At 39.8% G+C, this 26767-nt stretch overlaps 1 protein-coding gene across 1 annotated transcript in view, besides 3 other annotated features; it reads right to left on the reverse strand.

The window, feature by feature from the left end:
* Positions 1–26767, reverse strand: part of SLC24A2 (solute carrier family 24 member 2) — an 800438-nt gene that overhangs the window by 400457 nt on the left and 373214 nt on the right. The window lies entirely within an intron of this gene.
* Positions 18240–18534: an enhancer, noted in NCBI's record as "tiled region #6135; HepG2 Activating non-DNase unmatched - State 4:PromP, and K562 Activating non-DNase unmatched - State 12:CtcfO". NCBI's record gives its function as "activates a minimal TATA promoter and a strong SV40 promoter by Sharpr-MPRA in HepG2 and K562 cells {active_cell/tissue: HepG2 | K562}" and the evidence as "EXISTENCE:reporter gene assay evidence [ECO:0000049][PMID:27701403]".
* Positions 18240–18569: a biological region, named in NCBI's record as "Sharpr-MPRA regulatory region 6135".
* Positions 18460–18569: an enhancer, noted in NCBI's record as "active region_28225". NCBI's record gives its function as "activates an Ori minimal core promoter by ATAC-STARR-seq in GM12878 lymphoblastoid cells {active_cell/tissue: GM12878}" and the evidence as "EXISTENCE:reporter gene assay evidence [ECO:0000049][PMID:35858748]".

Below are 26767 nucleotides of genomic sequence, written 5' to 3' on the forward strand. Positions count from 1 at the left end.
AGGTAATTTATAGATTCAATGCCATCCCCATCAAGCTACCAATGACTTTCTTCACAGAATTGGAAAAAACTACTTTAAAGTTCATATGGAACCAAAAAAGTGCCCGCATCACAAAGTCAATCCTAAGCCAAAAGAACAAAGCTGGAGGCATCACGTTACCTGACTTCAAACTATACTACAAGGCTACAGTCACCAAAACAGCATGGTACTGGTACCAAAACAGAGATATAGACCAATGGAGCAGAACAGAGCCCTCAGAAACAATGCTGCATATCTACAACCATCTGATCTTTGACAAACCTGACAAAAACAAGCAATGGGGAAAGGATTCCCTACTTAATAAATGGTGCTGGGAAAACTGGCTAGCCATATATAGAAAGCTGAAACTGGATCCCTTCCTTACACCTTATACAAAAATTAATTCTAGATGGATTAAAGACTTAAATGTTAGACCTAAAACCATAAAAACCCTAGAAGAAAACCTAGGCAATACCATTCAGGACATAGGCATGGGCAAGGACTTCATGTCTAAAACACCAAAAGCAATGGCAACAAAAGCCAAAATTGACAAATGGGATCTAATTAAACTAAAGAGCTTCTGCACAGCAAAAGAAACCACCATCAGAGTGAACAGACAACCTACAGAATGAGAGAAAATTTTTGCAATCTACTCATCTGACAAAGGGCTAATATCCAGAATCTACAATGAACTCAAACAAATTTACAAGAAAAAAACAACCCCATCAAAAAGTGGGCAAAGGATATGAACAGACACTTTTCAAAAGAAGACATTTATGCAGCCAAAAAACACATGAAAAAATGCTTATCATCACTGGCCATCATAGAAATGCAAATCAAGACCACACTGAGATACCATCTCATACCAGTTAGAATGGGGATCATTAACAAGTCAGGAAACAACAGGTGCTGGAGAGGCTGTGGAGAAATAGGAACACTTTTAAACTGTTGGTGGGACTGTAAACTAGTTCAACTATTGTGGAAGTCAGTGTGGCGATTCCTCAGGGATCTAGAAGTAGGAATACCATGTGACCCAGCCATCCCATTACTAGGTATATACCCAAAGGATTATAAATCATGCTGCTATAAAGACACATGCACACGTATGTTTATTGTGGCACTATTCACAATAGCAAAGACTTGGAACTAACCCAAATGTCCAACAACGATAGACTGGATTAAGAAAATGTGGCACATATATACCATGGAATACTATGCAGCCATAATAAATGATGAGTTCACGTCCTTTGTAGGGGCACAGATGAAGCTGGAAACCGTCATTCTCAGCAAACTATCACAAGGACAAAAAACCAAACGCCGCATGTTCTCACTCATAGGTGGGAATTGAACAATGAGAACACATGGACACAGGAAGGGGAACATCACACACAGGGGCCTGTTGTGGGGGACGGGGAGGGCGGAGGGATAGCATTAGGAGATATACCTAATGTAAATGACGAGTTAATGGGTGCAGCACACCAACATGGCACATGTATACATATGTAACAAACCTGCACATTGTGCACATGTACCCTAAAACTTAAAGTATAAAAAAAAAGAAGTGGTTAGACTTTAGGTTTATATACAATTTTAATAAGGGAAAAAGGTTTTGGGGTTTAAGGGACTATAAATTATGGAGAAATGACTAGGAATATATGAGGGAACTAATGAAACAGGAATATTTTAGAAAGGTCTGTTTATGCAAACTCATCTCTATGTTGACTTTCTTTCTCTGGTGATTAGAGTCACTCTTTTCTTTGTGGCAGGGAGGGCATCTTCACAAAGGTAAATTTATGCCCTGATTTTAAGCACATGATACGAAGACAGAAAACCCTTCCTGCATCTGTTGATTTTCAATTGCTTTCAGCTCAAAAAAACGGTTATGCCAGAGTGGTGTATATTGGGGTGGCATGTTCTAATACCCCTCACTATACGGAGCACAACTTCCCTTTGTTATGGCCTTATTCCTCCCACACTTGCTTCTTTCTCTCTTCCTGCAAACATGTTCAAATTTTTCTCATGTCAATGATCCTTCCACTGGCCCTTCCATATTCACTCAAAATAATATTTATTGAGTGCTTACCAAGGGCAAGCATTGTTCTAGATGCTGAGAGTATTGTGAGCAAATAATGCAGATGTAATCTCTGTCTTCCTGAAATGTATAGTCTAGCGTCACCATACTCTCTAGCTACCATCCAATCTTATTTCCTCTTCATCTGAACCTCAGAGTAATCCATGCTGCCTGATCTTCCTCCTGTGATCTCTTCTTAAATTAGTGCCATCCTATCATCGAAGCCAAAAACCTAGGAGCTCATCCTAGTTTCATCCTGCTCCTTACCCTTCCTATCACCAAATCCAGCTGATATGATCTAAAAATTTTCAAAATAATTCCGCTTCTCTCCATCTCTACTGCCATGTTTCTATACTGGCCTTAATCACCTTTTGTTCATCAGTGGTTATTATAACTGGCCTTCCTGCCTCTAGTTTTAGCTCCATTAAATCCACCTTCCAGACTGAGGCTATAGAGTTCACCCTTATGCTTATAACCCCTCAAAAACATTCTCAATTTCCTATAGGATAAAGTGCAAGTTCCTCAGTGGGGCCTCATATTTTTGTCACTGCCTTCATCTCCAGCCTCACTAACTCCCTGTACTCTCTCTACTTGCAGGTCTCCACATATAGCATGCTTGGTATGTGTATGTACTTAACCCTGTAACTGCCTGGAACAACTTTTCTCAGGCCTTCTTGCCCACTGTCACCTCGCTATATCTACCTTCAGATGTTCCTAGATTTATTTTTCAAAGCTCTGCTTTTAGTTACATATAGTACTCTGAAAAGCCTTCCCAGAGAATCCTTCCTGGAGGGAAGAATTGTTGTTCTTCCTCTATGCGTCCATAGTAGCTTTTACGTTATTTTATAGCTCTCTGTTCTATCTTTCTCACCAGGCAGTGAGGTCCTTTTTTTTTTCTTTTCTTTTCTTTTATTTTTTATTTTATTATTATTATACTTTAAGTTTTAGGGTACATGTGCACAATGTGCAGGTTAGTTACATATGTATACATGTGCCATGCTGGTGTGCTGCACCCATTAACTTGTCATTTAGCATTAGGTGTATCTCTTAAAGCTATCCCTCCCCCCTCCCCCCACCCCACAACAGTCCCCAGAGTGTGATGTTCCCTTTCCTGTGTCCATGTGTTCTCATTGTTCAATTCCCACCTATGAGTGAGAACATGCGGTGTTTAGTTTTTTGTCCTTGCGATAGTTTACTGAGAATGATGATTTCCAATTTCATCCATGTCCCTACAAAGGACATGAACTCATCGTTTTTTATGGCTGCATAGTATTCCATGGTGTCTATGTGCCACATTTTCTTAATCCAGTCTATCGTTGTTGGACATTTGGGTTGGTTCCAAGTCTTTGCTATAGTGAATAGTGCCGCAATAAACATACGTGTGCATGTGTCTTTATAGCAGCATGATTTATAGTCCTTTGGGTATATACCCAGTAATGGGATGCCTGGGTCAAATGGTATTTCTAGTTCTAGATCCCTGAGGAATTGCCACACTGTGGAAGTCAGTGAGGTCCTTTAAAAAAGTGATTGGCAGATGGTTGGTGCTGAACTGTTGTGGAATCAGGCATCAGATAAGCCTTGATCTGAGCCTTGATCTTCTTCCATGATTGAGTGAGATTCCCTGAGCTACTGATATGGCGTCCAGTCTCAACTGTGGTTTTATCCTAAAGTGTCATTGAATATCCAGCTTCTCTTCCTAGCAATGAGACATTAATGGCTCTATCTTAGCTTTCCACTCAGCCTGTCCTATGGTAGGAACTCCACTTGACCTGTGGTTATGGGAGACACATCTATGATGCACCATCGCTATCACTTGTCTAGATCTTATCTCAGCACACTGGGTTCTCTTTCCATTTACACTAAAATCAGACATTTAAGGGTGAACTTGGGGGTTAAACAAACATATGTGGATACATTTGAGAAACAGACCATCAGCATTACATGCCATTGAGCCTTTTAGTGTCTGAGACCTAAGGTTTTATTTGTTTACTCACCCAATCATTTTATATAAATGTATATTTATATTTTAAGCTTTCTTTTAAAGCCACTGCATAGCTTCACTATGACCAGATAATGAGAATTCTTGACAATGGAGTGTCGTGGAGGTATTCAAACCCCCGGGGTGGGGACCGAGGCCAGCAGTTAGATGTTAGGCAAACTCTTCTGCTGAGACACATGCTTCCCCTACACAAACACAGATACAAATGTCAGAGCTGGAAAGGAGACCTTAGGGATCATCCTGGTGAGCTATCATTTTAGAGATGCAGATACTGAGCCTATTAAAATTTTAAGTCAGTGCCTTCAGATGTTATCCCATGGATAGTGATGGGTAGCATTTGAATGTCCTGGAAAAATGGTTACAAATAGTGTATGAATTCCCTGTTCCTATCCCATTGGCAGGGATTTAAATCAGGTATAGGTTGGAAATCATCGGTTTCAGTAATTTGTCAAGTTATTGGCTCACAGTCAGGATTAGAACATGGGTTCTCTGCTCTCTACAGTACAACAGATGGCCTTCCTCCATCTATCTAACCATAAACAATTCTATCTTTTTTCTACTGAATGCACGTGGGACCCTCACTTGGTCACACATTTCTTGCTATTCCTCCCAGATTTGTCCTATTCACAAATTGGATAAATAAATCATCTTAGTTTTCACATCGTTTATAAAATGTTCACAAAGACAAAACAACACTGGAACCTCCCAGCTCACATTAGAACCTCCAGTGGTGGATACTATCCCATCAACCTGCATCCCTTTGGGATTCTTCATTTGCCTAATTGATAATTTTTCCTTTTGAACTCAATCCAACCCTTATTTCTCTATTTTGTCCCAAAATGATGTTATGAAAGATGTCAAATGCCTGGTTGACATACAGAAACATTATATCCAACTTTTCCCTCAACTTACAGGCTTGTGAAACTATCAACAAATCATTTGTAAAAATTTAAATGAACCTGATCTCCATTTATTAATATTCTCTCCTTCTTCAAAGCCTATGACTCAGGTCTCCTGGTTTTCTTTATATCTCTCTGACAATTACCTCTCTAATTCATTGGCTATTTCTCTATTTTTCTTAGCCCAGTTTCTATCACTTCTACATTCTCACATCATTTTACATACTCTTCCCAGGTCGTCTCATCTAAATTGAAGAATTCAACCACTATCTATTTGCTAATGACTCCAAGATCTATGACCAGTTTTTCCAAAATATAGGCCCCATATTCTCATCTACACCTGAATGTTTGGCTGCAGGCTTATACCAGAGATACCAGTCATTTTTTTGTTTGCCAACATTCCCTTCTTAGAGACGTGCCCACATCCCATAAAGAGTAGTCACATAAATCACTCTGACTTCATCCCTCAGGCCATAGCTGACTTGGCCAGAGTGGATATCTCATCCAAGCTAGTCCAGTCAGATTCCCTTGTGTGGGAATCAATCACCTCCATCTGTAAGGTGATTTAGGGCTTGGAATTGTGTCCTGAGGATAAATAAGCAGAGAAAGCCAGTATACAGGGAGAATCCAGAGATTAGGGCAGACATGCAAAGGGAAGCAAAGCAAAGGACATCGTGATTTCAGAAAGATAGAGATGGAGTAGGTGGCTGCCTGAGAATTTTCCAGTGCCAGCAAGCCTATGCTTTATTGCTTTCATTGTATTTCATGAGATTAACCATCCTTTATCAAATACAATTTGAAAACCTACTTTATGCCAGGAACTTTGCTAGGTATAAGAGAAATTTTGTTGAATAAGGAAACCATGGTCTATGACTCCACAAATCTACATTTGAATGCCTTCTCACAGTAAATTCTTGTTTCCTTGCATTTACTTGAGTGTGTTTCTTGCATTCCATCAATCCATACTTAATTCTTTTTTTTCTTTTTTTAATTTTTGTTTTCCTGGGTAAGCACTTAATTCTTACTGTATCCCAAACCAACCTCATCTTCCTCACTATGCCAGCTCCTTCTCCAAAAAACCTACAATCTTGATCAGCGGTGGTATGCCCAATCTTGATTAACTGGGTAGTATGCCCAGTTTTCAAAACCAGAAACCTCACAGTTGCCCTTTGTTCCTCCTCTGCTTCACTACATATCTAGTCCGTTACCAAATACTTTGGGTTCTACCTCAAAATGCGCTTCCTTTCAGATCTTACTTTTTGTCCTTACTTTTATCTTGTCCAGGGTTAGATTCTTGACACCTGCCACTTGAGTGTTTCAACCACCTCCTGTCAGATCTACCTGTTGAATATCTCCCTACACAGCTCATCCTCCATGATGTCATCAGACCTCTTCCTAGGATCCATACTGGATCTTGACACATGCCTCCTAAACATGTCCACTGGCTTTCCATTATCACGAAAATAAAACCCATACACCTTATACAAAAGACCCTACTTGATCTGGTCCAAATTCCTCTCAATTGCTCTCTCCCACAACTTGTATTCCAGTGATTTCCAGTCACTAAACATGTAGCATTTTCTGAGTTTGCTCATTTTTAATAATATACATTTCCTTCTGTCTAAAAAGGCTATCCTCAGGTCTTGGCCTGGCAAAGTCATCTTTTAAGACCAGCTCAAATATCATCTATTCTGAGCCAGGCAGAGGACATGTTCTCTTAAGGCATTCTGTTCACCCCTCTGGCATAATCTAGCCGAGAGTGACAAGAGATTACGATAATAATCCCTTATGACCTTGCCTTGTTGTTAACAAAGTTATCTCGTTTGAACCATATAATGACTCAGATGAGGCAAGAAGGCATCCCATTTCATAGATGAGAAAATGGGCTCAAGACAGCAAGTATCCTCCCCAGTGTCATGTGGACAGGATGGGATCCAGATTTTGTAGCCAGAATCTGGCCACATAAAAGATCTGAGCTGAGGTGCTTCAGGAGTTCTGCACACATTTGATTTGTATTTTATTTTAAAACATGTATTTTAATAATTTAAAAAAAAGATTGATATAAAAGTCACCATTTTAGCCATTTTAAAGTGTGCAATCTAATAGTTTTTAGTATATTCACAATGTCGTACAACTGTTACCATTAAGTAACTCCAGAATATTCCCATCACTCCCAAAAGAAACCCTATACCTCCCAATCCCATCCTCTACCTGCCCTTGGCAACTACTTTTGTCACTATGAATTTACCTATTTTGGATATTTCACATGAATGAAGTTATATAATATGTGACCCTTTTTTGTCTGGCTTCTTTCCTTAGCATAATGTTTTCAAGTCTCATATATGGTGTAGCATGTATCAGCGCTTCGTTCTTTTTTATTGCCTAATAATATTTCATTGCATGAATATACCACATTTTGTTTATCCATTCATCAATTGATAGACATTTGGGTTGTTTCCACTTTTTGGCTCTTGTGAATAATGTCCCTATGAACATTCCGGTACAAGCTTTTGTGTGAACATATATTTTCAATTCTCTTGGGCATATACCTAGGTATAGAATTGTAGGGTCATACGGCAAATCTTTAACTTTTGAGGGATTGCCAAACTTTTTCCAGAGCACTGCACCATTTAATAATATATTCCCACCAGCAATATATTAAAGGTTCCAATTTATCCATATCCTTACCAACAGTTATTTTCTTGGCTTATTATTATGATGATGATAGTAGTTCTAGTAGGTATGAAGTAGCATCTCATTGTGGTTTCTTATTTGCCTTTTTCTAATTCCTAATGAGCATCTGTTCACATACTTATCAGCCATTTGCATATCTTCTTTGGAGAACTATCTATTCACATTCTTTGTCCATCTTTTAATTGGGTTATTTACCTTATTCTTGAGTTTTGTGAGGTTCTTTATATATTCTGGATATATATGATATATTATTTGCACAAATTTTCTTATATTCTCTGGGTCATCTTTTCCCTTTTTTGATAGTTTCCTTTTATACATAGAAGGTTTTAAGTCCAATTATTTATTTATTGTGCTTTTGATGTCATATTTTAAAAACTGTTGCCTAACCAAAGGTCATAAAGCTATATCACAGCTATATTTTCTTCTAAGAGTTTTACAGGTTTAGCACTTATATTTTGGTAAGCCTTAGATCCGTTAGAGATAATTTCTATAAATGGTGTGAGGTAGAGGTCCAAATCACTCTTTGCATGTGAATATTCAGGTAACCTGGGATCATATATTGAAAAGACTATTCTTTCCTCATTTAGTGGTCTTGGAATCCTTGCAAAACATTTATTGACCATACATGTATGGTTTATTTCTGGACACTCAACTCTATTCCATTGGTATATATGTCTATACTTATGCCAGTACCATGTCGTTTTGATTACTACAGCTTTGTAGGAAGTTTTGAAACTGAGAAGTGCGAGTCCTCCAACTTTGTTCTTATTTACTTCAATAATTTAAAAGCATGTGTACATCTTCTTCTAAAAATTTTTTTAAAGTACTATGTGCTTATTTTACACAAGTTAAAAATTTACCTAAGAATTTAAGATAAAAATGAAGGCAGAAGGCAGATATTGTCAACTCACTGTCAACATTTTGAAGCATTTCCTTCCACTTTTACAAATGTGTCTGTATGTACATCTAAGTAAATAAATAATACACATTTTCATATTTATGGAAACTGAAATGCATAGTTTTATATCTGCTTTTTTCCACTTAGCATTATATTGGGAGCAATTTTCCAGATTATTAAATATTCCTGGAAAATGTCATTTTTACAGCTGCATTCTATTATATGGATGTATAATAGTCACTTCTCTAGAGCTGGACACGTAGGCTATTTCTAGTGTTTTTCTGGCGTAAATGTTGATGTAATAAACTTGCTTATATGTCTTTTTGTGCATGTTTAACATCCTTCTTAGGATAGATGCTATAAGTAGAATCACTGGGTCAAAAATTTTAAGAATTTTAAGAATCTTGATTTTTATGGTTAAATTCTGTACCATTCCTAATGAGTTATATGAATTCCAAGTTCTTTATGTATAGGTGCAAATAACTTACCTGTTTTTTTTTTTTTTTTTTTTTTGTGCCTACATTTAATTTTGGTAATTAAATATTTTGACTTATGGAAGCTTCAGATTTTCCTTGAAATTATATCTTCTAAGTTTTTATTCTTATTTTAATTTTGTATTTTCTTTAACTGCTTTTAGATTGGAATGTCCTTATTCACAAAGGGACCACAGACATTTATCTCCCTCTACTTTCAGGTTTTGTTTTGTTTTGATCTCACATAGCCATCTGAAATTTATTTTAATGTTATTTCTTTAGGAAATATCTAATTTGATTCTTTCCTGAATTTTTAGCCATAATATTTTCTTTGTTATGGTCTTAAAGTTTATATTTGGTAGAACTGATCTTGAGTTTTCTTTTTGTGTGGTTTTTTTTTTTTTGGCATTTAGTCTGCACTTTTGCCTCCAGATAAATTTTATTAGCACATTGTCAAATTTTTGAAAAATCTCACTGAGATTTGGATTGAGATGACATTAGACCTCTAAATTAATATGACATCTTTACAGTATTCATTTACCCATCCAGGAACATCATCAATCTCTCTATTTTTATGAATCACAGCCAGGTCTTGTGATTTTTTTTCATATGGATCATGCATATAAGCTTATCCCTCGGGTTTTCTGTGTGTCTTATTAAAATCATGAATAGAAACCTTTTGTTGTTTTTGTTGCTTTTCTACTTAAAACGTATTCTAACAAATACTTAACAAACGTTTCAATTTGTATTTTTGTCTCATATCTATATCTTGATAGTTTTTCAGTAGATGCTTTGGAGTTTTAAGATTATGTGATATTATTTGCTTATAGTTATTACGTTGTCTCTTCATTTCCAGTAACTACAAATGTGGCTTTTCTTTTTCAAATATTAGTAGAATATTTAGAACTTTAACAACAGTATTATATAAGTGTGGACAAAGGGAATACTTATTTTGTTCCTTTGGTAATGGCAATGCCTGTAGTGCTTGTTTTGCTATTAAGAGAATAACTATCTATTGGCTTAAGATAAATATTCTTCCTTGTATTAAGGAAGCATCCTTCTATTCCTGGTTTACTAAATTGTTTTTTTAAATACAAAATTTGAGTTGAACTTTATTACAATCTTGTCATTATCCTTCGAAATAATCATATTTTTCTTCTTCTAACAACTGACATTATGTGTGTGTGTGTGTGTGTGTGTGTGTGTGTATACATACACATATATGTATTTCCTAATATAAACCATCTTTACATTCCTGGGAACTATTTTATTTGGTTGTAGTATAGCGTTTATTTAAGTTGGTGCTGAATTTTATTTGCTAGTATTTAGCACTTCTCATTGTTATATTATGAAAGACTGGCCTGGCATTTTTGTTGTTGTTTTGTGCTATTTGTGTCATCTTTTAATAATGTGGCTATTCTGCCTTTATCAAAAAAAAAAAAAAAGGAAAGTATTCTTTTGTCTTCTATGCTTTGAGAATGTGTGTGGTTTTTAGATTCATTCCGTGCAGGTTCCCCCTCTTGCTCCCTAGCTCACATCCTCCACTCTCCTTTCCACATCTCTGATTTCCACCACTTCTCCCCCATGTCACTGTGTTGGAGCGTGGAAGCTCTAAAGGTGAGATGCAGGCTGAGGTTGTCTGTCTGCTGCCACTGAAGAGTCTTGCGTGTGTTTCCCCAGACTCCAGGAGTGTATGCCATAAAAGGGTCCCAGTGAGAGTCATCTTAAATGTATTCACCAAGAGAATCATATGAATCCAAGACCCACCCACATGTGGTCCAAGAAAAGCCCAAAGCCTGGGAGGCAGAGAGTCCACATGACCAGCCAGATGCTGCCTTGTCTGCCTCAGAGGAACTGCCCTTACCATGTCTAACAGGAAGAACTTCTAGGAAACCACCAAACGCCTATAAAAAAGGGGGCCAACCACTGTGCAACCACCACATAGAAGGTACTGCTGCCAGATTACAATGTTCTGGGCAAGAAAGATAATTTGGGTCATAAGGTTTCTTCCTCTCTTCCCCAGGATCTGAAGATAGGAGGTGAGAAAATTTAAATTAAATGAAGGTTGGAGTTTTGATATCACACTGAATGGGATTTTAATTATTTAACAATTTCAGGAGAACTTTTATTACCAGAAAGTACCTAGAAAGCTATGGAACCTATCCGAGCTTGCTTCGGGGAAATGACTTCCGAGGAGAGTTAGAAGAGGTTGTGGTGGGAAAGAATAGTGCTGGCTGTGGCTTGCTCCCGGGGGGTTCAGCTTAGTAAGCAAACAGGCCCAGAGATGCACTTAGAGAACAATCACCACGAGTGATTCCATGCCTTCTTTCACACACAGTTATTTTTAGAATATTCGACTTTATTATGCTTTCGGAGGTGATGGCAATGTACCAGTTAAGCTCAATCTTGGACATTGTGATGTGCTTTTATTGCTACAGTCTCTAATTGAAATAAAATGGAAGAACAAGGAAAGCATTTAAAGAGAGCAAGAAAAATAGCTCACATGGGCTTGTGGCAAAAGAAAAAATATCTAGATACCAACATATACTTAGGACAAATTAAAAATACAATTACACATCAAAACATACAGTTTGTGGAAAAAACCTCTTTTTTTCCAAAAAAGTCTGTATTAATTTATTCTCACAGTGCTATGAAGAAATACCTGAGACTGGGTAATTTATAAAGAAAAGAGGTTTAATTGACTCACAGTTCTGCAGGGCTGGGGAGGCCTCAGGAAACTTACAATCATGGCAGAAGGGGAAGCAAATATGTCCTTCTTCACATGATGGCAGCAGGGAGAAGTGCAGGGCAAAGGGGGGCGGAAAGCCCCTTATAAAACCATCGTATCTCATGAAAACTCACTAGAACAGCATGCAGGTAACCGCCCCCATGATTCAATTACCTCCCACCGGGTCCCTGCCGTGACATGCTGGGATTATGGGAACTACAATTCAAGATGAGATGTGGGTGGGGACACAGCCAAACTATATCAGAGCCCAATATATTCAATATATTGGAAAAATTATAATGGAATGGAATGGAATGTGACACTTTTTACTTTGATCTGAGTATTTTCAATATCCTATTTATTTGTGTTATTACCTTTTAGATCAGAATCTAAAAATAATTTGGGGTCCTTGATATAGTCATGCAACATTTGATATATTTCCTTTTTTTGAAGTTTCTGCTAAGAAAATTTATCAAATTGATTCATTTAAGTGCAGGGGCATAGAAATAAATGATCTCCTCCATTACCCAGAATTGTTTAAAATCATTTGGTAGACTCTCAATATTTCTTGCAGATTGACTTTGTTTATTTGTTTGTTTTTGGTCAATGCAGTATGGCAGAATGAAACGGAGTTAGTTTTTGGACAATTTTCATAGTTGCCAATGATTAATTCATCAGTCGTGATTTTTCAAACTATTAAATACAAAGTCCATGTCTTAGACTGAGTCCCCCAGATGTAGACCCTGAGACAAGGATTTGAGTTCAAGCAGTTTATTTGGGAGGAGATCCCAGGAAGTACTGCCATGGAAGTGAGGAAGTGAAACAGGGGAGGGAAGCAAACCAGCATTGGGTACGCTGAGGGCCAACGTACCGCTATGGGCTACCTGCTGGGAACCTCTGGGAGCCTGAAAGGAGCCCACCTGCAGTGAGCTGGTATTTATCTGCCGTCTCCCTGGGCATTGGTTGAGAGCTGTTAGGGCAGGGTTGAGTGTTAACTCTCCACGCTTCCCACTAGCCTGTGTGTGACACATATCTACAACTAGAGAGTCCTGGGCAGTAAGGGACGACACAACAGTGAGTTCTAGGAATGACTGACCTATACAACCTACATGACGTGTATCGATCGGGAGCCGGATGTGAGAGACAGAAGACTGAGTGTAAAATCATACAGTCTAAAGCCAACCTGGGTTCAAACCAGATCTGCTCCTGTTTGTATGTGACCCTGAGCAAGTTATTTAATCTCTTGGCACTCAGTTCCCTCATCTATAAAATAAAGATAATCATATTACCTACCCTCATAGGGTTGTTGTGAGGATTGAGTCGATATAAGTAACAAGTTTAGAATAATGTTGACTCATGGCATATACTATTTATTCATAATTATTATGGGGGGGGGGTGTTCCAAAGTAAATCATCAACCTGCCACCAACAGTGCACCTGTAGTAAATGGTTACCATTTACCTGTCTTCTCCTCACCTTTATTTGATAAAATTTCATTTAATGACCTTTCTATAGTTTTACTATCTTCACTAAGAATTTAGAACTTACATGGCCGGGCATGGTGGCTCACACCTGAAATCCCAGCACTTTGGGAGGCCGAGGTGGGCGGATCATGAGGTCAGGAGATCGAGACCATCCTGGCTAGCATGGTAAAACCCCGTCTCTACTAAAAATACAAAAAATTACCCAGGCATGGTGGCGGGCGCCTGTAGTCCCAGCTACTCGGGAGGGACAGAATGGCGTGAACCCGGGAGGTGGAGCTTGCAGTGAGCCAAGATTGCACCACTGCACTGTCTCCAGCCTGGGCGACAGAGCGAGACTCCGTGTAAAAAAAAAAAAAAAAAAAAATTTAGAACTTACCATGCCATGTGCAATATGCAATATTGAATAATCTCACTTCAATTGAAAAATAAACCTCATTTTTCATGCATACAGAGAAAAATGTATTCATCATCATTTTGGGGGATCATTTAAATCCCTCACCTGAATGCATTTCGGTAAAGTTTAGCTGAGGGGGTCTTATATTTGCCTAGAGAGAACACAATGTCTAACCATGCATTTCCTCAGGGAACTCTACGGTACAAGGCCTCTTTTCACCTTGTAAAAAGAGACTCCAAGCCCTGCTGGCAATTCACAATACAAAAAGGATATCTTATTGATATGAAAGTTGAATTTAATGTGATAGGAGCAAATCACTTTTCAAAGTGGCCAAGAGAGGGGGAAAGGGTTAAGAAGTCTCTATTGATGTAAGACAAATTAAAAGCAGAAATATAAGAAATGACGCTCCTTCCCAAGAATCCTATGAGTGGGTTTTTGTGGTCTTAAAATGTACCTTGATTCATCTACTTCTGTTCATGCATGTTTGCATGTACGTCCTTCTCCAAGCAGCTAGAGAAAATAAAGTTGGATGCATCAGCCTGTTCCCATTGTTTCAGGAGCAACCATCCAGTCTTTTAGATTCTAAAAGCCTAAAGATTCTGAAAGTGGAAAATTTATTGTTTCACTCAAAAATTCCATAAGCCATCTTCCTAAGTATGAAATAGCTTCAGGGAATTCTATTTTTTCTGATAGTTTGTCACTAAGTATTTGAGTCCATGATTTTCAGGGGAGCCAAGAGATCTCATACCAAATTGCAGGGAATTCCTATGATGTTTTTTAAAAGCAGCCATTTAGTGTTCTTCTCTGATTTGCAGACATGCAATAAAATCTTTTTATGCACCCTATTTATTTTCCTAGACATTTAAATTTTTTCATGCCCAGCATGCTCAATAATTCAAGCAGAGTTGAAAATGGCCAGGTTTTACCTTCCATGGGATTATCCTTGGGGACTGAGGGTTTAAAAGAATGACAGCTATGAAAAATCCCAGGCCTCCTCCCAGCTGTGCACATTGAACTGTCTCTACTGAAAGCAGTAACCTCTGCCTGCTTCACAGGAGGGATTGGCGAGCATCCTAACAGTCACTGTAAATCACAGCCCATCACACAGCTAACTCTAGAGCAATGGGGCCACCTAGACTCCAAATATGGAAGCGCTGAAAGGAAAAAAATCCCTTCTGGGATTCATTCCTAGAGGCTCCTTGAGATCTGGATATTGAGAGGGTAAAAGAGGAGCTTGTACATGTCTGAGTCTCAGGTGATCAGAGACAACTTGAATGCATGAGGATTTTTCTCCATAAAACACATTAGATATTAACTTTTAAATATTTATAAATATTTACATGAAATATCTTAAATATTAAAAATTATATTTTTATGAGTGTGTTGGCCTAAAGATGAATATATTCCTGTTATATATTAAATATTATATATTTATATATATAAAACATTTAATTTAACCTACCAGTTTTTTAAAAAAAATGTTAAAAGAAATAAAGACATTTAGACATTTTTCTGGGACCTTAAAAGTATTGTGGGCCCTCCACACTGTGCCTAGTGGATAAATTGGCATGGCTGGCACACACTAGGGAGGTCAGGGATTTATAAGGCCTAGAAGCCTTCCATCCTTTAGACTGTTAGAATGTTCTGAAAGATGTCCAAGGACACCCAAGGACTTACCATACTTTCCTGCATTTCATGAATTTCTTTCATATTTTAATGTTTCCTTTAATGCATCACATAATAGATGACACGTTTAACATTGAGGTGGTGGGACTCTGTTCCTTTAAAGTCTTCATTGAATTGATAATACTTTTAAAATATACAGTATCTTAGAATGGAGGAGGCATGGTATCCAGCCATGATGAGGAAAAGCAGCCACCCCTGCGCCCTGGGACCTTTCCTGACCTGGCTCTTTCCACTCCCTACCTACCCAGCCACACATCAAGAAGCAGTCCTTTGTCATTTATTAGCCCACCTTGGAAGCCACATTGCCGCAGTTCTGCTGTGCTCTTGGTTGAAGCAGTCACAAGCCCACCCCACTCATGGAGGAATGACAAGTTCACATTGTTGAAGAACATATGAAATGGGGATATAGTTGTTGTCACCTTTGGAGAATGTGATCTGCCAAACATCCCCCAACAAAGACAAATAAATAGATAGTTGGATCATTTCTTTCTTTTTACTTTTTTTCTGTTTTGAGACAGAGTTGTTCTTGTTGCCCAGGCTGGAGTGCGATGGCACAATCTTGGCTCATTGCAATCTCCGCCTCCCAGGTTCAAGTGATTCTCCTGCCTCAGCCTCCCGAGTAGCTGGGATTACAGGTGTGCACCACCATGTCTGGCTAATTTTTGTATTTTTAGTAGAGACAGGGTTTCACCAGGCTGGTCTCGAACTCCTTACTTCAGGTGGTACACCTGCCTCGGCCTCCCAAACGGCTGAGATTACAGAGAGTTGGATCATTTCTAAAGGGAAGTGGGTAGCAAGGGTGATGAACAAACAGAAATTACACTGTGTTCACTCCGTTATGCCACCGTCATGCCTGTGAGGGAGCAGAGCAGCTGGCTGTACAATTTCTTTAAGGAACATGGATATATACCCAGTTGGTTCAGGCAATGGGTGTTACTATCAAACTGTTTGCAGAGGAGTAAGGAAAACAAAAATGAGAGTAGCCAGGATGTCCTTCTCAGTCAGCTGAGATGTGACAGCTTGTTTAGGGTGGTTGTGCAATTTCAGATGTGTCATCCCCAGCCTCAGATATCAGTGTTTCTCTTTGCTAGAGCTCTACCATTATGGCTGCTTTTGGGGGAGTCCACCACCCCATTTCTCCTGCAGTTACCAGTTACCTTATTCCCTGCTTTTCCCCTTTTCTTGACTTACACCCCTTGTGGCTTCTAGAATGTCATCTTGGTCAGGTTTCCATCACTGATCTAGTCAGCTGTGTCCATCAGTGGGATCAGTGCTTCCAGATATCTACCCAGCAGAAGCCACTGAGGGTGTGGCTCCTCCTCAAGAGCCAGTAAGGACCCCATGAGGGTGTGACTCCTCCTTAAGAGCAAATAAGGATCCCATGTCTTATGGCTCAAAATAAATACTTTTCATTGCCTGCAGATGTTAATTTCCTAAGGTTAGGCCCAGGGTGAATAAAGGAGGAGAAAAGAAGACTGAATCTCTGAGGGTAAAACACAGGACAAAGTGAAATGACTTCTTCACCAAAGTAACCACCAAACTGCCTAGCATCTTCCTGCTCTCCTGTCTCTGGGAGAGTCTATTGTTTGCCCCATAATTACTATCCTTCAGCTCATTTGGCTCTTAATCATGCCTTTGAATGCAGCACAGACAGAATGAACCCAGCTCTTCTGACTGTTCTAGGCTCAGTACTCTTGAAAGTCAGGCTTCAAGTAGAGTCAATTCTAAGGGGTCTTTGGCCCCAGAGCAGTCAATGCATCAAAGTGGAATTTTCTATAGCATGCTTGGACCCTTGGCATCCAGCACCAAAGTAAAACACAGCTTGCCTTACATAAGGGAGCCTACATTATCACTCCCAGAATAACTGGTGACCCCACAGACCTGCACAGATGTGCTGTAGAACAAACAAACATCAGACGTTCTCTATAAGGACAGGTCTAGGCTGCACCTTTATCTATATCCAGTCAAAGATATATAGATTTATAGTGACCCAGAAAAGAATGCAGAGGAACCTGGAGAAAGCACCCTGCTGCTTAGATCTACAAATTTTGTTCATCTCATATATATAGGCACAGACAAAAAGGAATGTTGACAGGCTGTATTTACTTGATCTTTTTGTCATCTCTTAGAATCTAATACATGTGAAAATTTTGGCATAGGTAAGCACAATTACTTGTGGTAGACATATATATTTGTGAAGCTGTAACTCCTTGTGTATATATGTTTTATTCTTTACACATTAGTTCTTGCTGCCAAAAAGCTCTACATTTTATAATTCAATCAGCCAACACCTGTACCAAGATTTGGTCACTGGGAACTTCAAATATTTCGTATTTGAGAATGGGGAAAGAAAATCTGCAGAAAAAAAAATTGACCAGAACCTGCGTCATGTATTTTTCACAGGAAAGCTAATTATTAGAGGAGGATAAAAACCTGAGGTTCCCTGACTAGGGAGTGGAGTCTAGACAAGGGATCTGATGTGACAGGGTTCCTTCTCTATCCTCTTCAAAATGTAAGGAATGTTTGGCTTCTGGATTGTGTCAGAAAATAGAAGTAACAAATAGTCTTTATTCATAAAAAACTGGCTTTTCCTGACAGAGATTTTAATCGTGTGCTACACACGTGAATCCTTTTTAAAGAAATTGCTAGGGGCTGGGGAATTTCCAAGCCAACCTCCATTAACCTGCAGATTGAGCAAGACACACATCTGTTCTTTAATTGCACAGTATTTCGAATCAAAACAAACAAGCCCTTCCACAGAAAAGGGCCTGTTTTCCTGGTGATGGTTTTGGCTCGAGTTACCCTTTGTGTTGAGTATGTCTACTCTTCAGGCCATAAGGTAGCGATCTCACCGACACCTCCCTGTGTCACGATTCCCCTTAGTAGTCTGTGCTGCAGTCACTAAGCATGACCACTAGATGGCGGGAGAGGACTGAGTTGAGGTTATGGCGGCGGCTCCTTTCTCCCTGCAGGGTGGGAGGAACGCTGTTGTCTCTTTTTCTTCCTGCCCCTTTGTTTGACTTCACCATTCTCTGTTTCCTTTTCGCTCCGCTGTAGTTACGTGACTCACCTTTCATTCAGTACCTCCCTTCAAGGAAAGCCCTGTCTCCTGTCCTTGGACTGGGATCACACAGAGTTCTTGGGATGACCCTGGCTCTCCCGCGCCAGCCGCTCTGCTGCCAAGCGCAAGCATTCGCTCCCAGATGCTTCGCCCAGTTCTTTGCAAATGTCATCCAATCAGTGTCCAGGTGTTCACGGCTCATCACTGGCTTACTGCTCTGGTCTACATAGCTTGGGACATTGCTGTTTATGCAGGTATAAAAAAAAAAAAAGAAAAACAAAAGAAAGAAGGAACGGCAGCATCACAGAATGTGAATCAGAATATTAGTCTGTGGTACTGGGAGAGAAAAAGAAGATTCCCCAGAGAGGATGAAGACCAAACAGACTGCAGACCTGCCATCTCTCTACACTGCACTTGGATTGGCCATTTGCTGTATGCACCCGGGAAAAAAATTCAGAGGACCATGCTGTTGTGATAGCTGACCTAAAGACATTCTGGAGAGCACATGAGTTTGATTTTTACAAATGACTTAATAATCTGGGGGACCAAGCCAGGGCTGCAGAGTCTGGAAGAGCCCCCGCCAGCGGTGAGCAGAGGAGGAGGAGACCCAGAGTCAGGGGTGGTAGAGGAACGGGGTTTCCCAGGCCTCTTTTCACAGCAATTAGAGGTCTGTGTTCTCCTTGAGGCAGGGGCGTAACTCCCACAAGTGTTAATGAGATTTAACGAAGAGAAAGGGAGACTCCAGAGCTGCATTTCCAGTCGGGGCTTCCACAGCAGCAGAAGAGGACAGAGTTCTGCTGCTTCCAGCCGGACCTGGCAGAGAGTCCTGGAAGCCTGGACCTTAGCATGTTACCTTCATCAGCAATTCCACACTCCAGCCGGCATCGTAAGTCCCCAACCTGTGGTCGCCTAGCCCCTTCTACGAACCTTGTGAAGAGAAGCTGCCTGTGCCTTGGGCTAGAAAGTTCTCTCGCACTCTATCCAGTGCTTAAGCTCGCCTGCCTAGGTTTACATCCCAGCTCTGCTGAGTTTCCAGCTAAGCCTAGTTTCCTCCTCCAAAAAATGGAGATAATAAATGGCACCTACTTCACTTGCGGATCTAATGAAAGTCAAGAGCTTAGCACAATGTTTGACCATATAAAGTACCTCTGAGTGATGATGATGATGAATTTGGGCCTAGAATTGACATCTTAGTCATATGAGGCAGAACCTAGTTCTAAGGAAACACACCTCAGTGCCATGATAGAAACATTTCATCATGAAAACCTAAGCAGTTGTGCAATGAAAATCCCTGTCATTTACAACAATTCCCCCACCCCCCACGTACTTGGGATAAATTAGAACCAGGATGGGCCAAGTTTCTCGTCTCGCCTCCTCTTTTCCTCAGTGGCAACCGTGTGATTTATGGCTCTGACGGGAGAGCCAACCAAACTCAGTTGTTTCAGCTGATTGTCCCCGTGAGTTTTCAGGTTGATGTGAAATCCAATGGGGTGTGAACTGAAACCCAAGATCTCCTGAAAGCCCCATGCACTAAGCTCAGTAAGGGACCAAACCAAACCAAACCAAAGCTCCCTCCCTCTTGCCTGGCACTCCTGGAGCTCACAAAAAGCCTGCCACTTGTGAGCCTGTGTGCCTGGAAGGGTCTGCTGCACCTGGCTGGGGGCCCCTGGGCCATTGTTTTCCTGGCAGCAGCAAGGAGGCAGGTCTTCGGCTCACTCCTGGAGCTGGCCCCACACCAGCGACCTCAGAAACCAGGCAGGCTTTCATCCTGGGGTCTCCTAGGGGTTGGTTACACAGAGAGAGTGAGGCTTTGTTGGAAGACTCTCAGAGGCCTGGCCAGGTTTTCCTCTCACAGCCAAGAAGCAGGTTCTAGTTCTTTCCAAACCCTTGATACCTTCTAAACTGAAAAGCGGCTGCCCACTCAGAATTTGGGCTAGGCCATGGAGATGCTAAAAACCTTATCTTTTAAAAGGGAATTGTTACTGTCTCTCTGAAAAGACTGCAGGGTTTCTAGGAGATTCTGAAATGATGTATACAGCTAGAGTCTAAAAAGGTGGAAGGAGAGGTTTCTGGGTAGGGGGTTAAAAGTGTAAGCTCTGGAGGCAGGCAGACCTGGGAGCAAGTCCCAGCTCATACTCTTCATAGCTGAGTGACCTTGAGAAAGTCACTCAATCCCTCTGAGGTTCTCTTTGTTCTTTTGCTCCCTGCTCACTCTTCATCTTACCCTGTCTAGCCCAACGTTTTTGGTAGTTCATGTTCCAGTCAGAAGAAAAGACCAGTGAGAACTGGGATTTATAATAATTACAATCATCAAAATTAACTGAGTACAGTGCTCAGCAATTTATATCAATTTCATGTAATCCTGAGAACCCTTTTATAAGGTAGGCATTGCACTGATTCACATTTTACCAGTGAGGAAATAGAAGTTTAGGAAGGTTGCCAAAAACTTAGAATGACCTTTCTAAAATATGTCTGGTTCTATTAGTCTTTGGTTTAAAATCTTACCATGGATTTATCTTCAGGATAAAATAAAATTCTTTAACACAGAAAAAAGGACCCTTCCATGCTGTGAGCCTTCAGGATTCAGTGGTTAACCAGTATCATCTTTCTAACTTCCTGACCTGCAAGTCTCCCTCTGACCACACTGAGCTTTCACCCTTCCCTAGCTGACTGAGGTGTTCTTGCACCTCCAAGAATCTGCACACAATCTTTTCTTCTTCCTTCATATCCTTCTGGATCTGGCTAACTCTGACTATCCTTCAAGACATGGTTGGGTATCGCTTTGTCTGGAGAATAACCTGTATGCCCCCAAAGATGGGGATAAACACCCTTTCTAGATGATCTGGTAGTTTCTGAGTCTGCTTCTAACAAGGTTAACTCCAAATTCCTCAGCCCAAGACTGAAGGGAACTCCTTTCACTCCTTTTACCCTGGACTCTCACCCGTGCAGCTCTCTGGCAGCCGGAAGTCCAAGATGCCCATGGACTCTTAGCAAGCCATTCACAGTCTTCATTTAGGGAATTTTAGTAGAGTCTGCTGAATTTGTCTTAAATAGGCTGACTACAATGATTTTTTAAAATGTATACAATCATGCACTGCATAACAACTTTTCAGTCAACAACAGATCAAATATATGATGGTGATCCCAGGACCTGAAAATATCCTATTGCCTGGTGACATTATAGCCATCAGCATGTGGTAGAGCAACACATTACTCACTTGTTTGCCAGTTGTAAAAAAGAATAGCACATACAATTACATACAGTACGTAATACTTGATAATAATAAATGACGATGTTACTGGTTTGTATATTTACTGTACTATATTTTTCACAGTTATTTTAGGGTGTACTCCTATTTATTAAAAAAAATGTTAACTATAAAAAGCCTCAGGCAGGTTCTTCAGGAGGTGTTCCAGAAGAAGGCATTGTTATCATAGGAGGTGACAGCTCCATGCATGTTATTTTCCCTGAAGAACTTCCAGTGGGACAGATGTAGAGGTGGAAGACAATTATACTGATGCTCCTGACCCTGTGTAGGCTAATGTACATGTTTGTGTCTTGGTTTCTAACAAAAAAGTCTAAAAAGCAAAAAATATTAAAAATTTTAAACAGAAAAAAGGTTATAGAATAACGATATAAAAATATTTTCGTATAGCTATACAATATATTTGTGTTTTAAGCTAAGTGTTATTACAAAAAGTCAAAATTTTAAAAATTACAGCGTTTATAAAGTAAAAAACTTTATAGTAACAAAGGTTAATTTATTATTGAAGAAAAATTGTTTATACATTTAGTGTAGCCTAATTTTACAGTGTTTATAAAGTCTACAGTAGTATACAGTAATGTCCTAGGTCTTCACATTTACTTATCACTCACTCACCAACTCACCCAGAGCAACTTCCAGTCCTGCAAGCTCCATTCATGCCCCATACAGGTATACCATTTAAAAAATCTTCTATAGCATATATTTACTCTAGTGTTTCCACATTGAGATGTATTTAAATACACAAATATTTATCATTGTGTTACAATTGCCTGTAGTATTGAGAATAGTAACATGGTGTACAGATCTGTAGCCTAGCAGCAATAGGCTATACCATACAGCCTAGGTGTGTAGGTGGCTACACCATCTAAGTTCGTGTAACACAATGACAAAACCACCTAACCATGCATTTCTCAGATTGTGTCCCCATCATGAAGTGACCCATGATTGTACATCATATACTGCCCCTAGAGTCTTCTCAGTGGCCATCTGGCTCAGAAGTTTTCAATCTTTCTTAGGACAAGGACTGCTTTCGAATTTGTGGGAAGCAATGGATGCTGTTGGGGAGGGGGCTGCACATACAGACATATTTACTAAAGGTATTATAATTTCAGGAAGGTTCACAGATCCCCTGCAGACCACTCAGGAATTCTGTTAAGAATCCCTGATGAAGTCCAACTTTCTCATTTGTAGCTAGGAAACAGGGTGCCAGAGACTTGCTGTAATTGTCCACATTCAGATAGCTAGAGAGTGATCAAGCTGGGATTTATATCCAAGTGTTCTGGTTCTTTTAGCCTGTGTTTATTTTAAAGATTAATAATGGGGGAAACTATTAATTTTACTGCATCCCACAATTGGTCAAGCATAGATTACTAAACCTTTGTGCTTCCATATAGGATTGGCATTAGCAGAATTCATTGACACTAGCAATGACCAATAGTGATTGAAACCTCCAAGAAAAGACATTAAATAATCATGATAACCATAGAATGTTACTTAAAAGGGTAGGAAGCAAAACCTCATTAAACAAAAATTAAAAACACTTAAGAATGACAATATCAATAGCTAAAATCAACACCAACAGATACAAGACCATCCTTCCAGCCAAGTAAGACAATCAAAAGGTGTGGAAGGTCAGGTTGCAGTCCTGATCAGTCAGGCATTCAAACTGGACTGATAATTATCAAAGTGGAAGTTCACAGAAAGAGTTATTATAATTGAGGAAGTAAAAAATCATGTAACTTCCACATTCAATACTGTAATTTAAAAATAGATTTTTTTCACAATAACCATATACAAAATAATGTATTTAACACATAAAACCAACAAGAGAAAACCCACAATTCTTTCTGATCACACAAAAATCTATTTAGAATGTTAAAATTATTATTTTTTCTCTATGCCTTTGTTGTTCTACTTAAAGTATACAAACATCATACTGACATAGATTACTTATTCACTTACCAAAAAGGAGATGTAGACAATAGAACATCTAAATTGACTGAAAAATCTACCAAGGCTTTTATATTTAAATCACAGGCAAAATGGTACATGTTATCTTCAAATTAGGGTGACTAAACATTTTGGTTTGCCCAGGACTGTCCCATATTTGGCATGGGAAGTCCCATGTCCACAACACCCCTCAGTTCCAGGCCAAACAAGACAGCTGGTCACCCTACCTCAAACAACAGCACAAACAACCAGAATAATTATGTTCTTTAAACTCTCACCTTATATACAATTTATAAATAATAACAATGAATTCATTGAATAAAGAAATAAAATATTGAGTTGGCTATTTTACATTATAGACTGAACTGGGTTTTTAATTTAATTTTATTTATTATTATTATTATTTTTAGTTTTGAGTCTTACTTTTTCCTCCCATGTAGAAAGAGAATTAGTTTTGTTAATTTAAAAAATCATCCATTATGCATCAGCCATCATGGTCAACAGCTGAAATTTCTCATGTATTCGCATACCACAATACGGTCCCATTAAACATGAGCGTATTGAAACAAACAAATACTAGAATAAATTCATGCAGTAAAACTCTAAAAAATAGTACCGAACCATAGGAGAAAAAGGAAACCATTTAAATAGTCAAAGTTGTAAGAAAAATATTTTTGTTCTGAAATGGTCTTGGTTTCTTTTTCTTAGGTGAGAGTGTGTTGGGTAGAGATGAAAGCTTGGGAAGGATCGTTAAAATTCCGGTAGATATTTTTTAACTGCCACTAATTCACTGCCGAATAATGTTATACAAATTATGTAGCCCAATGTTGTCTTACGTGGAGCTTCTTCAATATCATAGTGAAATTTAGCTGGTAGCAATATTATGAGCCTGAATTAATAATTTTAGGGGCCTGCTAATGAAGCAGCTGTAGCCAAAAAAACCAAGGTGGGGAAATATCTATTAAAATGACATCTTGCATTCCTTTATGGTTTATGGAAGTTTTCAATGTATGCTATGATTATTTCCATTTTATTGTATGGGTGACTCACGGTTATGAGAATTTACCTAAGTTCACTTCGTGGGTATGTGGAAGAAGAGGGCTAGAACTCAGAACTTCTGACTTCTAGTCTGGTGCTGTCTTTAGTTTTCAACTCTTGCCACTGTGTTTCAGACTTTGCAGGCCACTGTGAGTCTGACACCTACAATACCCTCTCTTTGAAAAAATATACATGTGCATAGGTCCTTTCCTATCAGTTATAAGGCCTGGGACAAGCGTACAAAGGGAGAGCCATACACCTTATGCCACAGGTTTTTCCTCATCTCACCCCGTCCTACTCTGTCCATAATACTCTCAGATTCCCCCGTCATCACTGGTTTCACCCTTTTAAGTCCTTCAAAGGAACCTAAGGCTGGAAGGCCAAGTTCAAATATAGAATTGTTGGACTCCTTGGAATTTTTCTCTGGAAAGTGGTGGCCTTCTCATCCTTGGCCTTCCCAGCCCTGGGGCAGGAGGTGGGGGCTGCGGGGAGGATGGACTTGGGGAAGAGGCTTGAGCTCTTTAGGTAGAAAATTCCCAGGTTCTAGGAGCAGAACCATGGGCCAAAAAAGGAGGAAGCAGGCTTATAGTGGGCACTTTGCTTGGACCTCTGGAACATCATGTCCTGTAGAGAGGGGCACAGCCAGAGTAAGGCATGCTAAGGTACCCCTCTTGCCTGATCTAAAAGCAACGGTACTTGCACACATACTCAAACAATTCTATATACAACTTCTGGGATTCACAGGTGTCCTGTAGCTCTTCCTTAGATCACAAGTTAAGAACTTCTGATATCATCACTTAAGAATAGCAGTAAATCCCACTTGTATTGCTCTTAATAAAGTATAAAATGCTTTCACACTCAAAAGCTCATAATCTCATTTATTTGATTCTTAGTTCCATTCATTCATTCATTCATTCATTCATCCATTCAATTCATTCATCTACTTGTCAAAGAACGCGCCGGGGGTGGGCTATCAACTGTACAGGTAAAAACAGATCCTTTCAAAAGATTCCACAGTTACCACAGGACCCAGCAATACTACTCCTACATACATATTAAAAAGAAATAAAACACATGTCTGTTTAAACACTTGTACATGCATCTTCGTAGCAGCATTACTTATAATAGCCAAAAAGTAGAAACAACCCAAATGTTCATCAACTGATGAATGGATAAACGAAATGTGGTATATCCATACAATGCAATATTGTTTCACAATACAAAGGAATAAAGTCCTGGTGCATGCGACCATGGGAATAACCTGAAAACTTTATCCTAAGTGAAAGATGCCAGGCACAAAAGCCACATGTAGTATGATTCCATTTATGTGAGATTCCCCAAACAGGCAAATCCATAGAGGCAGAAAGTAGATTAATGGTATGCTAGGGGTATGCAGGAAAGGAATAATGGGGGCGTGACTGCTAATGAGCAGAGGGCTTTCTTTTTTGGGGTGATGAAAATGTTCTGGACTTAGTTGTGATGGCTACTCAACCTCCTAAGTATACTGAAAACCACTGAATAGTACACTTTAAAAGGGCGAATTTTATAGTATCTGAATTATACCTTAATTTTAAAACAGATTTTCAGAGCAAACTAAAACAGATCTTGTTCTTGCTTTTATGACGCCTACAGCCTGGCTCTCTGAGAGGTCTCTGCACTTATTAGGGCAGTTTCCAAGACGGGGTGGCCGGGCCTCAAAGCAGGCCCATCATTTTATCCGTCCCCTTCCCAACAGGCCAGTGAAGGATTTGGCAGGAAGCAAACAGGTGGCTTCATGTCTCAGCGTCGGTTTTCCAAAGCGGCCTCCATGGGCCGAGACACATGCCCTGCACCGGTGTGAGAGTGTATCCCGGACCCCCGCGCACCCCCGGGCTCCCGCGCACCACAAGGACCCCAAGCAAATCCTGGCCCCCATTGCAGCTCCCAGGTCCCCGCGCACCCCCGTTCCGGCCCCCGTGCACCGTGCGCGCCCATGGCGGGGCTCCGGAGCCTCCTGCGCTGCCTGCCAGGCAGCGTGCACAGCAGAGGCCAAACAGGCAGCCAGCACCTCCTGCCTCATTTAAGTGGTAATTTCCTTTGGGGGTTTCATTCAAGTGCAGCCCTGGGAA

The sequence above is a fragment of the Homo sapiens genome, chromosome 9, assembly GCF_000001405.40.
Source record: "Homo sapiens chromosome 9, GRCh38.p14 Primary Assembly".
In the NCBI taxonomy this organism is placed as follows: domain Eukaryota; kingdom Metazoa; phylum Chordata; class Mammalia; order Primates; family Hominidae; genus Homo; species Homo sapiens.